Source organism: Homo sapiens, chromosome 22 (assembly GCF_000001405.40).
Source record: "Homo sapiens chromosome 22, GRCh38.p14 Primary Assembly".
NCBI classification, from domain to species: Eukaryota; Metazoa; Chordata; class Mammalia; order Primates; family Hominidae; genus Homo; species Homo sapiens.
The window spans coordinates 19,251,208-19,264,317 of NC_000022.11; the positions used below are offsets into that span (position 1 = coordinate 19,251,208).

Here is a 13,110-nt window from a genome sequence, read left to right on the forward strand (position 1 = left end):
AAGTATTTTATTCTTTTTGATGTTATTATTAATGAGATTGCTTTCCTGATTTCATTTTTGGATTGTTCGTTGCAAATGTTTAGGAACACAATTGATGTTTGCAAACTGATATTGTATTCTGTAACCTTGTTCAATTTGTTTATTAGTTCTAATAGTTTTTTACTAGATTCCTTAGGATTTCCATATACAAGCTTATGTCATCTGCAAATAGAGACAGCTTTAATTCTTCCATTTAAATCTAGATGCCTTTTTGTTTTGTTTTGTTTCTGAGACGGAGTCTCGCTCTTTTGCCCAGGCCGGACTGTGGTGGTGCTATCTCGGTCACTGCAAGCTCCGCCTCCCGGGTTCATGCCATTCTCCTGCCTCAGCCTCCCGAGTAGCTGGGACTACAGGCGCCCGCCACCGTGCCCGGCTAATTTTTTGTATTTTTAGTAGAGACGGGGTTTCACCGTGTTAGCCAGGATGGTCTCAATCTCCTGACCTCGTGATCCGCCCGCCTTGGCCTCCCAAAGTGCTGGGATTACAGGCGTGAGCCACCGTGCCCAGCCTAAATCTAGATGCCTTTTATGTTTTTCTCACCTAATTGCCCTGGCTAGAATCTCTAGTCCAAAGCTGAACAGAAGTAGCAAGAGAAGACATCCTTGTCTTGTTTCTGATCCTTGGGGGAAAGCTTTCAGTTTTTCAACATGAAGTAAGATGTTAGTTGTATTTGTTGTAGATGCCCTTTATCAGGGTGAGTAAGCCAAAGTCTTAGGTCTTGTCTCCCCTGTATATCTGCAATGCCACTGCCTTCATCTAGTCACACATGCTTCATATCTTCTGGGGGTTGCAGAAATGGAACAGAGCGTTCCAGAAATGGAAGTACTCCTTCCCTGTTTGCGTATTCTTAACCTTTCTCATACATGTCTCTATTCCAGAACAGACTACATGGTTTTGTTCCTGTATCTGCCTTTCAACTAGTCTCCTGGCCTCCAGTCTTCATGGTGGTCCATCTTCAACATCAATGATAGCATTTTTTCAATTCCACTATGCTGCTAAGAAGGAAAATTAATTACATCACTCTCACTCAAAACCTGCTACATAATTCCCATTGCCTGCAGTCTGGCCCCCAATCATCTCTCTAAGTCTTGCCCCTCTAGCTACCTAATATGCTTACCTATAGGTATCATCCACGGTGGGTGACCCCAGACTCCCAGAAAGAGCCATTCTCCTCCATTCTGTGCCTTTGCATACACTGTGTCCTTCCAAAGTGCACTTTAATAGCTAGCAAAATGCATCTTAGATCCCCTGTGTTGCAGGCTGTCTTGACTTAAGCTGCTCTCTCATGGCTCCCACAGTATTCTCTTCAAACATGTGACAGTTCCTTAATTACTAGAATTGTGCAGATACACCTTCCCCACTAGGCTATAGACAAATCATTCACTGGTCATCAGGATTGAATGACGAAGATCTATGTCCCAAGTGCAAACATCCTGTAGTCCTCAAGTATCTGGTGACTGAATTAGCCACCAGGAATGAAAAAAGGGGACGGGCGCGGTGGCTCACGCCTGTAATCCCAGCACTTTGGGAGGCCAAGGCGGGCGGATCACGAGGTCAGGAGATCAAGGCCATCCTGGCTAACACGGAGAAACCCCATCTCTACTAAAAATACAAAAAATTAGCCAGGCATGGTGGTGGGCGCCTGTAGTCCCAGCTACTGGGGAGGCTGAGGCAGGAGAATGGCATGAACCCAGGAGGCAGAGCTTGCAGTGAGCCGAGATCGCGCCACTGCACTCCAGCTTGGGTGACAGAGTAAGACTCCGTCTCAAAAAAAAAAAAAAAAAAAGGGAGGACAAAAAGATACTGCTTTCAGTATAATAGAATATGAGTTAGTAACATTCCAGTAAGTCCTTAAAATACAGTCTAAGAACTACTTCTTTTTTTTCCCATAAAATTAAATGCTTTTTAGTGTTTCAAATAAGCAGCATTTACACAGAAGCAGCTCTATGTTAACCATCTAGATGCTGGGACTTTGATACAATACCTACAGTGCAGACACACGGGGGCCAGAGATGCCAGGAAGGCCGCGTTGTGTGTGGGCCGTGGTGTGTGCGGGCAGTGTGTGCAATTACCAAGGACAGGCCAGCTGACCGCCCATTTCCCCAAGACCTCCCTCCCTGCGGCAGCTGTGCACATCGGGGCCCTTTGACCCCATGGGCCACGGTCCCTCCCTGCCCTGGCTGGGACGCAGTGGGCAGGATGTCTAGCCCTCTCTCGTCTTCCCGAAGGACTACTTCTTATAAAACTATGGGTTCCAAATTACTCTATAAAATTCCTCAACAACCTCTCAAAACAGTGCTAGAAATAGTTTATACAATGAACATCAGTAACCTGAAGGAATGCAGTAGTAGTTAATAGGCCAAAGGTAAATTAAGATTATTTGATCCAAGTTCAGATTTCTTTGTAATCTCTATTTCTCTCAGTTCCAGGCCTACTTTTGCCTTATACCTATAACCAACTTTTTTTTTTTTTGAGACAGGGTCTTGCTCTGTTGCCCAGGCTGGAGTGCAGTGGCGCAATCTTGGCTCACTGCAACCTCAAACCCCTGACCTCAAGAGATCCTCCCGCCTCGGCCTCCCAAAGTGCTGGGATTACAGGCATGAGCCACCGCACCTGGCCCTATAACCAACTTCTAATGATTTAACCACTCCATTCTAATATTGGGCTTTGAAGTTACATCAGACCAGCCCCTAAAGGCAGCTCAAGGCTTACCTGAGCCGAGATGCCTACGAGCAGCAGCCACTTCTGGTACTCATCAGTCCGGTAGTGAATCACCTGGCAGCCCACCAGACTGGTATGTCTATCAAACATCTTCATGGGCTGGGAGTCACCTTCCATGCTCCAGTGGTAGACCGCGGTCTCGGTCACCAAGGCAACAGTGTTCACAGAAACCCATTTCCAGAAAATCACTTCTTCTGCCATAGTATGAGCCTTCATTTTACTCTTCATCTCAATATTAAAGATCTGAAGTGTCTTCCCAGCTAGTATTTGATATAATAGAGATTAGAGAAAGACAAATTAAAAATCTGAAAGACAAATTCATATACTCTTAATTCTGAATTCTTTTAATATTACTTTAGGTTGTACTGCTAATCTGATTAACAGGGTCTGAAAGATGCTGCCAGAGTAGTAATTAAGCATACCTTAATGTCTAAATATTGAGAAGAGCCTGTATGCATTAAATTCTTCTTCAGAGGAATGTAAAAGTATGTAACTATTCATAGAAATATGTGAATAACAATGAGAAATTAGTTCTACTGAAGCAAGCCTCTCTTTTAGATTGGTTTCTTCTAGTTTTAAAATACTTTTCTGGATAACTCAGCAAAAACATAAGACACCCCTTCTCTGTGTGGTCTCCAATTTTCAAGAAAGACTACAACTATCCCTTCACATTAAACCAACTTCTCCAAATTTGTCTTAAATTCTAGACCAATGCTGACAAATGGAATTTTCTACAATGTTGGATATATTCTATATTTGTATCCATCACAGCAGATAATAGCTATATGTGGCTACTAAGCACTTAAGATGTATCTAGCAAGATATTTCAGGAACTGAATTTATACTTTTATTTAACTTTAATTAATTTAAGTGTTAAACAGCCCCATGTAGCTAATGTCCAATAGGGCAGTACAATTCTAGACAAAATATTTGGCATCCATTCTCTGGCAAGAGATCCATATTGTTTCTACATGTAGCAATGAACTAAATTTTGATTTTGGAATTATACAAAATTTAGACCTAACATAAAATATTAAAATATTGCTTCCCACAAAGATTGGGAACAAGGCAAGGATTATTTCTCTGACCACTTGTTTTGATACTGAGAATAACATAGCTGGTGTGATAAGGCAAGAAAAATAAAAGGCATAAAGATCAAAAAAGGAAGTAAAGCTGTCTTAACTCACAGACAACATAATTATTTACAAAGAAAATCCTGCAGAATCTACAAATCTACAAAACAACTATTAGAATTAATAGATGACTACAGGAGTGCAGCAAGATGCAAAGACAACCTACAAAAATTTCAATTGGGCTGGGCACAGTGGCTCACACCTGTATTCCCAGCACTTTGGGAGGCTGAGGCTGGTGGATCTCTTGAGGTCAGGAGTTTGAGACCAGTCTGGTCAACATGGTGAAACCCCATCTCTACCAAAAATACAAAAATTAGCCGGGCTTGGTGGCAGTCACCTGTAATTCCAGCTACTTGAGAGGCTGAGGCAGGAGAATCGCTTGAACCCAGGAGGCAGAGGTTGCAGTGAGCCAAGATGATGCCACTGCACTCCAGCCTGGGTGACAAAGTGAAAACAGGTCTCAAAAAAAATCAACTGAATTTTGAGATACTAGCAGCAAACAATTTGGAAATATAAAAAAGAATTCAGGCCGGGCATGGTGGCTCACGCCTGTAATCCCAGCACTTTGGGAAGCTGAGGCAGGTAGATTACCGGAGGTCAGGAGTTCAAGAACAGCCTGGCCAACATGGTGAAACCCCGTCTCTACTAAAAATACGAAAATTAGCCGGGCATGGTGGCACACTCCTGTAATCCCAGCTACTCGGGAGGCTGAGGCAGGAGAATTGCTTGAGCCTGGGAGGCGGAGGTTGCAGTGAGCCAAAATTGTGCCACTGCACTCTAGCCTGACCGACAGAGTAAGACTCTGTCTCAAAAAAAAAAAAAAAAAAATTCATACCACCACCCAAAACATAGCATTTTGGAGTAAATTTAACAAAGGGTAAGCAAAGTCTCTACACTATAAAATATTCCTGAAAGAAAGTAAAGGCTTAAATAAAAGAAGGGGCATACCATGTTCATGGATCAGAACACTTAAAATTGCCAAGATGTCATTTCCCCATAAATTACGTACAGGTTCAATGCAATCCCAATCAAAATCCCAGAATCCTTTTCCTTCTTTCTTTCTTTCTTTTTAATAGATACAGGGCCTCACTTTGTCACCCAGGCTGGAGTACAGTGGAGCAATCATAGCTCATTGCAACCTCAAATTCCTGGGCTCAAGTGATCCTCCTGCCTCAGCCTCTCAAGTAGTTGGGACTATAGGCATGCACTGCCACACTCAGCTAATTTTTCTTTTTTTTTTCTTTTTCTTTTATCTTTTTTTTTTTTTTTTTTTTGAGACACAGTCTCTCTCTGTTGCCCAGGCTGGAGTGCAGTGGCATCATCTCAGCTCAATGCAGCCTCCACCTCCCAGGTTCAAGTGATTCTCCTGCCTCAGCCCCCCGAGTATCAGGGATTACAGGCACATGCCATCACGCCCACCTAATTTTCGCATTTTTTTGTAGAGATGGGGTTTCACCATGTTGGCCACGCTGGTCTCAAACTCTTGACCTCAAGTGAGTCGCCTGCCTCAGCCTCCCAAAGTGCTGGGATTATAGGCGCGAGCCACCATGCCCAGTCTAATTTTTAATTTTTTTTTTTTTTTAGAGACTAGGTCTTGCTATGCTGCCCAGGCTGGTCTCAAACTCCTGGCCTCATGCAATCCTTCCATCTCAGCCTGTCGAAGTGCTGGGATAACAGGTGTGAGCCACCACCCTGGCCCAGCATCTTTTGTTTGCTTGGTGGAAAATAAAATGATGCTATAATGAATATGGAAATGCAGAGGACAAAGAATAGACATAACAAATTTGGAAAAGAGCAAAGCTGGAAGACTTACAATACCTAATGTTGAGATGTACTATAAAGCTATTAATAAAACCTATGTTATTGTCATAAGACACATAGATCAATGAAACAGAAGAAAGTCTAGAAACAGCTGCATGCACTGATTTGATAAAAGTGCCTCAAAAAACTCAATAGGCCCAAACACATTTTTTATAAAAATAGAAAAATCCATTCTAAAATGTATATGGAACCTCAAAGGACCTCAAATAGCCAAAATAATCTTGATAAAGATGAACAAGGTTGGATGATCTCACACTTCCTGAATTTAAACCTCATTACAAAGTTAAAGTAAGCAAATGTATGGTAACAGCATAGAAACACAGACACCAGTGGAATATAAGAGAGAACTCAAAAATGAACCTTCACATATATGATCAAATGATCTTTGACAAGGGTACTAAGACCATTCAATGAGAAAAAAGAATACTCTTTTCAACAAATAATACTGGGAAAACTGGGTCCACAAAATAATAAAATTGGACCCTTACCTTATACCATATACAAAAAGTAACTCAAAATGGATTAAAGACCTAAACATAAAAACTAAAATCACAGGCAGAACCTGAGTCCTGTTCTCTCACTTTCCTCCCCAGACAGCATGAGTTTCACCACTCACTCCACTACCTTCTCTACTAACTACCAGTCCCTGGGATCCGTCCAGCCGCCCAGCTACAGTACCCGGTTGATCAGCAGTCCAGCCGGCATCTATGCAGATGTAAGGGATTTGGGCTCCCAGATCTCTGTGTCCTGCTCCACCAGTTTCCAGGGTGGCTTGGGGTCCAGGGCCCTGGCCACTGGGATGGCCAGGGGTCTGGCAGGAATAGGGGGCATCTAGAATGAGAAGGAGACCATGCAAAGCCTGAACGACCACCTGGCCTCCTACCTGGACAGAGTGAGGAGCCTGGAGACTGAGAATTAGAGGCTGGAGAGCAAAAACCGGGAGCACCTGGAGAAGAAGAGACCCCAGGTCAGAGACTGGGCCATTACTTCAAGACCACTGAGAAGCTGATGGCTCAGATCTTTGCAAATTCTGTGGACAATGCCTTCATCGTTCTGCACACTGACAATGCCCATCTTGCTGCTGCTGACTTTAGAGTCAAGTATGAGACAGAGCTGGCCATGCACCAGTTTGTGAGGAGCGACATCCATGGGCTCTGCAAGGTCACTGATGACACCAGTGTCACTGGGCTGTAGATGAAGACAAAGATTGAGACTCTCAAGGAGAAGCTGTTCTTCATGAAGAACCATGAAGAGGGAGTAAAAGGCCTACAAGCCCGTATTACTAGCTTTGGGTTGACTGTGGAGGCAGATGTCCAAATATCAGGACCTTGGCAAGATCATGGCAGATATCTGGGCCCAATATGACAAGCTGACTCAGAAGAACCTAGAGAAGCTGGACAGGTACTGATCCCAGCAGATTGAGGAGAGCACCACAGTGGTCATCACGCAGTCCACCGAGATCAGAGCTGCTGAGATAACACTCACAGAGCTGAGATGTCCAGTCCAGTCCTTGGAGATTGGCCTGGACTTGATGAGAAATCTGAAGATCAGCTTGGAGAACAGCCTAAGGGAGGTGGAGGCCTGCTATACCACGCAGATGGAGCAGCTCAACAGGGTCCTACTGTACCTGGAGTCGGAGCTGGCACAGACCTGGGCAGAGGGACAGCGCCAGGCCCAGGAGTACGAGGCCTGGAACATCCAGGTCAATCTGGAGGCTGAGATCACCACCTACCACCGCCTGCTGGAAGATGGGGAGGACTTCAATCTTGGTGAGGCCCTAGACAGCAGCAACTCCATGCAAACCATCCAAAAGACCACCACCTGCAGGATAGTGGACGGCAAAGTGGTGTTTGAGACCAACGACACCAAAGTTCTGAGGAATTGAGCCAGCAGAAGCAGGGTACCCTTTGGGGAGCAGGAGGCCAGTAAAAAGTTCACAGGTTAAAAAAAACCCCAACAATTAAAATCATAAAATGTTTAGAGAAAACATAGGGGAAAAGCTTGATGACATTGGATCTTGCAATGATTTTTTTGGATATGACAATAAAAGAAAAAAAATGAATTGGACAGCATCAGAGGTCACAAAAGAGAGAAAAGGCAACCCACAGAATAAGAGAAAATATAGGCATACCTCACTTTATTACACTTTGTTTTATTGTGTCTTGCAGATATTGCACTTGTTTTGTTGTTTTGTTTTGTTTGAGACAGCGTTTCGCTCTTGTTGCCCAGGCTGGAGTGCAATGGCATGATCTTGGCTCACTGCCACCTCTGCCTCTCAGGTTCAAGAGATTCTCCTGCCTCAGCCTCTGTAGTAGTTGGGATTACAGGCGCCCACCACCATGCCCGACTAATTTTTGTATTTTTAGTAGAGACGGGGTTTTACCATGTTGGCCAGGCTGGTCTCGAACTCCTGACCTCAGGTGATCTGCCCGCCTCGGCCTCCCAAAGTGCTGGGATTACAGGCGTTTTTTTTGTTTTGTGAACAACAACAACAAAAAAAATCAAAGGTTTGCGGCAATCTTCCATCAAGCAAGTCTATTGGTATCATTTTTCCAACAGCATGTGCTCACTTCCTGTCTCTGGGTCACACTTTGGTAATTCTCATGATATTTCAAACTTTTTCATTATTATATTTGTTATACTGCTCTGTGATCAGTGATCTTTCATGTTATTACAGTAATTGTTTTGTGTCACCATGAACCACACACATATAAGATAGTGGACTTAATAAATGTGTGTGTTCTAACTGCTCCACTGACTGGCCATGCCCTAGTCCCTCTTCCTCTCTTCAGGCCTCCTTATTCCCTGAGACACAACAATATTGAAATTAGGCCATTTAACAACCTTCCTTGCTAAAGGAAAGTGAAAGTGAAAGGAAGAGTCCTACGTCTCTCACTTTAAGTCAAAAGTTAGGAATGATTAGGCTTTGTGAGGAAGGCATGTCAAAAGCCAAGGCAGACTGAAGGTTAGGTCTCTTGCACCAGTTAGCCAACTTGTGAACACAAAGGAAAAGTTATTTAAGGAAATTAAAAGTGCTATTTCAGTGAACACATTAATGATAAGAAAACAAACAGCCTTACTGCTGATATGGACAAAGTTGTAGTGGCCTGGATAGAAGATCTAAGCAGCCAGAACAATCCCTTAAGCCAAAGCCTAATCCACAGCAAGGCCCTAACTCTCTGCAATTCCATGAAGGCTGAGAGAGGTGAAGAAGTTGCAGAAGTCTGAAGCTAGCAGAGGTTGATTCATGAGGTTTAATGAAAGAAGCCATCTCCATAGCATAAAACGGCAAGGTGAAGCAGCAAGTTCTGATGCAGAAGCTGTGTCAAGTTCTCCAGACGACCTAGCTAAGATCATTGATGAACAAATTTTCAATGGAGAAGAAACAACCTCCTACTGGAAAAAGATGCCATTTAGGACTCAAGCAAGAGAGAAGTCAATGCCTGGCTTCAAAGCTTCAGAAGACAGGTTAACTCTCTTGTTAGGGGATAATGCAGCTGGTAACTTTAAATGGAAGGAATGCTCACCGACCACTCCAAAAATCCTAAGGCCCTTAAGAATTATGCTAAATTGACTGGGCGCAGTGGCTCACACCTGTAATCCCAGCACTTTGGAAGGCTGAGGCAGGCAGATCACTTGAGGTCAGGAGTTCGAGATCAGCCTGACCAACGTGGAAAGAAACCCCGTCTCTACTAAAAATACAAAAAATTAGCCGGGCATGGTGGTGCATGCCTGTAATTCCAGCTACTTGGGAGGCTGAGGCAGGAGAATCCCTTGAACTCGGGAGGTGGAGGTTGCGGTGAGCCAATATCGTGCCACTGCACTCCAGCCTGGGCAACAAGAGTGAAACTCTGTCTCAAAAAAAAAAAAAAAAAAAAAAAAAGAATTATGCTAAATCTCCTCTGCCTGTGTTCTATGAATGGAAAAACAAGAGTCGTGATGATAGTACATCTGTTTACAGCATGATTTACTGAATATTTAAAACTCACTGTTCAGATCTACTGATCAGAAAAAAAAAAAAAGGTTCCTTTCAAAAGATTACTGCTCTTTGACAATGCACCTGGTCACCTAAGAGCTCTGACGGAGATATACAAGGAGATGAAAGCTGTTTTCATGCCTGCTAACACATCAATTCTGCAATCCGTGGATCAAAGAGTAATTTCACCTTTCAAGTCTTATTATTTAAGAAATGCATTTTTTTTTTTTTTGAGACGGAGTCTTTGCTCTGTTGCCCAGGCTGGAGTGCAGTGGCGTAATCTTGGCTCACTGCAAGCTCCGCCTCCCGGGTTCACGCCATTCTCCTGCCTCAGCCTCCCCAGTAGCTGGGACTACAGGCGCCCAACCATGCCCAGCTAATGTCTTGTATTTTTAATAGAGAAGGGGTTTCACCGTGTTAGCCAGGATGGTCTCGACCTCCTGACCTTGTGATCCACCCGCCTCAGCCTCCCACAGTGCTGGGATTACAGGCGGAAGCCACCGTGCCCAGCCTAAGAAATACATTTTTAAAGGCTACAGCTGCCATAAATATGTCTCCTTTGATGGATCTAGGCGAAGTAAATTGATAACCTCCTGGAAAGGATTCACCATTCTAGATGCAACTAAGAACATTCGTGATTCACGAGAGGAGATCAAAATATCAATATTAACAGGAATTTGGAAGAAGTGTATTCCAACCCTCATGAATGACTTTGTGAGGTTCAGGACTTCAGTGGAGGAAGTCATTGCAGATGTGGTAGAAACAGCAAGAGAATTAGAAGTGGAGCCTGAAGATGGGACTGAATTGTTGCAATCTCAGGATCAAACTTGAACAGATGAGGGCTGCTTCTTAGGGATGACCAAAGAAAGGGGTTTCTTCCAATGGAATCTACTCCCAGTGAAGATGCTGTGAACACTGTTGAAATTACTACAAGAATTTAGAACAGTACATAAACTTACCTGATAAAGCAGCACCAGAGTCTGAAAGGACTGACTCCAATTCTGGAAGAAGTCTACTGTGGGTAAAATGTTAGCAAACAGCATTGCACGCTACAGAGCAATCTTTCATTAAAGGAAGAGTCAATCCCTGCGGAAACCTCACTGATGTCTTTTTTTAAAATTATTTATTATTTATTTATTTGTTTTTTGAGATGGAGTCTCACTCTGTTGCCAGACTGGAGTGCAGTGGCGTGATCTTGGCTCACTGCAACCTCCACCTCCCGGATTCAAGCGATTCTCCTGCCTCAGCCTCCCAAGTAGCTGGGACTACAGGAGCGTGCCACCAGGCCCAGCTAATTTTTTTGTATTTTTAGTAGAGACGGGGTTTCACCATGTTGGCCAGGATGGTCTCGATCTCTTGACCTCATGATCTGCCTGCCTCAGCCTCCCAAAGTGCTGGGATTACAGGCATAAGCCACCGCACCCAGCCTGATGTCTTATTTTAAGAAATTGCCAGCCTGTCGCGGTGGCTCATGCCTGTAGTCCCAGCACTTTGGGAGGCTGAGGCAGGTGGATCACGAAGTCAGGAGATGGAGACCATCCTGGCTAATGTGGTGAAACCCCATCTCTACTAAAAATACAAAAAATTGGCTGGGCTTGGTGGCAGGTGCCTGTGGTCCCACCTATTTGGGAGGCTGAGGCAGGAGAATGGCATGAACCCGGGAGGCGGAGCTTACAGTGAGCCGAGATTGCACTACTGCACTCCAGCCTGGGCAACAGGGTAAGACTCTGTCTCAAAAAAAAAAAAAAAATTGCCACAGCCACTCCAGCCTTCAGCCACCACCACTGTGATCAATCAGCAGCCATTGGCATCAAGGCAAGACCCTCCACCAGTAAAAAGTTTACAACTCGCAGCTGGGTACAGTGGCTCATGCCTGTAATCCCAGCACTTTGGGAGGCTGAGGCCGGCAGATCACTTGAGGTCAGGAGTTCGAGATCAGCCTGGCCAACATGGTGAAACCCCATCTCTACTAAAAATACAAAAATTAGCTGGGCGTGGTCGCACGTGCTTGTAATCCCAGCTACTCGGGAGGCTGAGGCAGGAGGATCCCTTAACCCTGGTAAACAGAAGTTGCAGAGAGTTGAGATAACGCCACTGCACTCCAGCCTGGGTGACAGAGAGAGACTCCATCTTTAAAAAAAAAAAAAAAAAAGATTACAACTCACTGAAGGCTGATAATGGTAAGCAATTTTTAGGAATAAATAAATAGATTATTCATTTATTTATTTATTTATTTTGAGACAGAGTCTCTCTCTGTAACCCAGGCTGACATGCAGTCATCAGACTCCTGGGCTCAAGATATTCTCCCATCTCAGCCTCCTTGAGTAGGTGAGACTACAGGCGTGCACCACCACACCCAGAATTTTTTTTTTTTTTTTTTGAGCTAAGGTCTCACTGTATTCTTTGCCATGCTGCTCTTGAATTCTTAGGCTCAAGCGATCTTCCCACCTTGGCCTCTGAAAGTACTAGGATTAGAGGTATATGCCACCATGCCTGGCCATAAATTATTTATTTTTATTTTTATTTTTATTTTTTGAGATGGAGTCTCACTCTGTCACCCAGGCTGAAGTGCAGTGGCGCAGTCTTGGCTCACTGCAACCTCTGCCTCCCGGGTTCACACCATTCTCCGCCTCAGCCTCTTGACAGGCTGGGACTACAGGCAACCGCCACCACGCCCAGCTAATTTTTGGGTTTTGTATTTTTAGTAGAGACAGGGTTTCACTGTGTTAGCCAGGATGGTCTTGATCTCCTGACCTTGTGATTCTCCTGCCTCGGCCTCCCAAAGTGCTGGGATTATAGGCGTGAGCCACTGCACCCAGCCAAATTATTTTTTAATTAAGATAATCCATTTTTTTAGACATAATGCTATTTCACACTTAATAGATTACAGCATAGTATAAACATAACTTTTATATGCACTGGGAAACCAAAAAATTCATGTAACTCACTATTGTAATATTCTTTTTATTGTGGTAGTTTGGAATTGAACTCAAAATATCTTCAAGGTATGCCTGTATATGGAAATCATATATCTGACAAGGGGTTAATATCCAGAATATATAAAGAATGCCTACAACTCAACAACAAAAAACACAAATAGTCCAGTTAAAAAATGACCCACGTGGAGTGGTTCACGCCTGTAATCCTAGCGCTTTGGGAAGCTGAGACGGGATGATCATGTGAGGCCAAGAGTTTAAGACAGCCTGGGCAACATGGCAAGACCCTGTCTCTACAAAGAAAAAATGTTTTTAATTAGCTGGTTGTAGTGGCGCATGCCTATAGTCCTAGCTACTTGGGAGGCTGAGGTAGGAGGATAGCTTGAGTCCAGGAGTTCGAAGTTACAGTCTCTTAAAAAAAAAAAAAAATGGCTACCATTAAAAAGAAAACAATACAAATAACAAGTGTTAGCAAGAATGTGAA

At 43.8% G+C, this 13,110-nt stretch overlaps 1 protein-coding gene and 2 pseudogenes across 20 annotated transcripts in view; 1 reads left to right on the plus strand and 2 right to left on the minus strand.

Moving 5' to 3' along the window:
• Positions 1 to 13,110, minus strand: part of CLTCL1 (clathrin heavy chain like 1) — a 112,247-nt gene that overhangs the window by 71,735 nt on the left and 27,402 nt on the right. For 19 of the 20 annotated variants that reach the window (XM_047441517.1, XM_047441515.1, XM_017028954.3 and 16 more), the window contains exon 3: positions 2,752 to 3,020. In XM_047441517.1, the coding sequence (XP_047297473.1) occupies positions 2,752 to 3,020 (269 nt within the window). Of the gene's footprint in view, positions 1 to 2,751; positions 3,021 to 6,597; positions 7,683 to 13,110 lie in introns of those variants that run through there. The other variant, XM_047441514.1, reaches the window with a different exon arrangement.
• Positions 1,924 to 2,262, minus strand: DVL1P1 (dishevelled segment polarity protein 1 pseudogene 1; annotated as a pseudogene).
• KRT18P62 (keratin 18 pseudogene 62) lies at positions 6,270 to 7,654 on the plus strand (annotated as a pseudogene).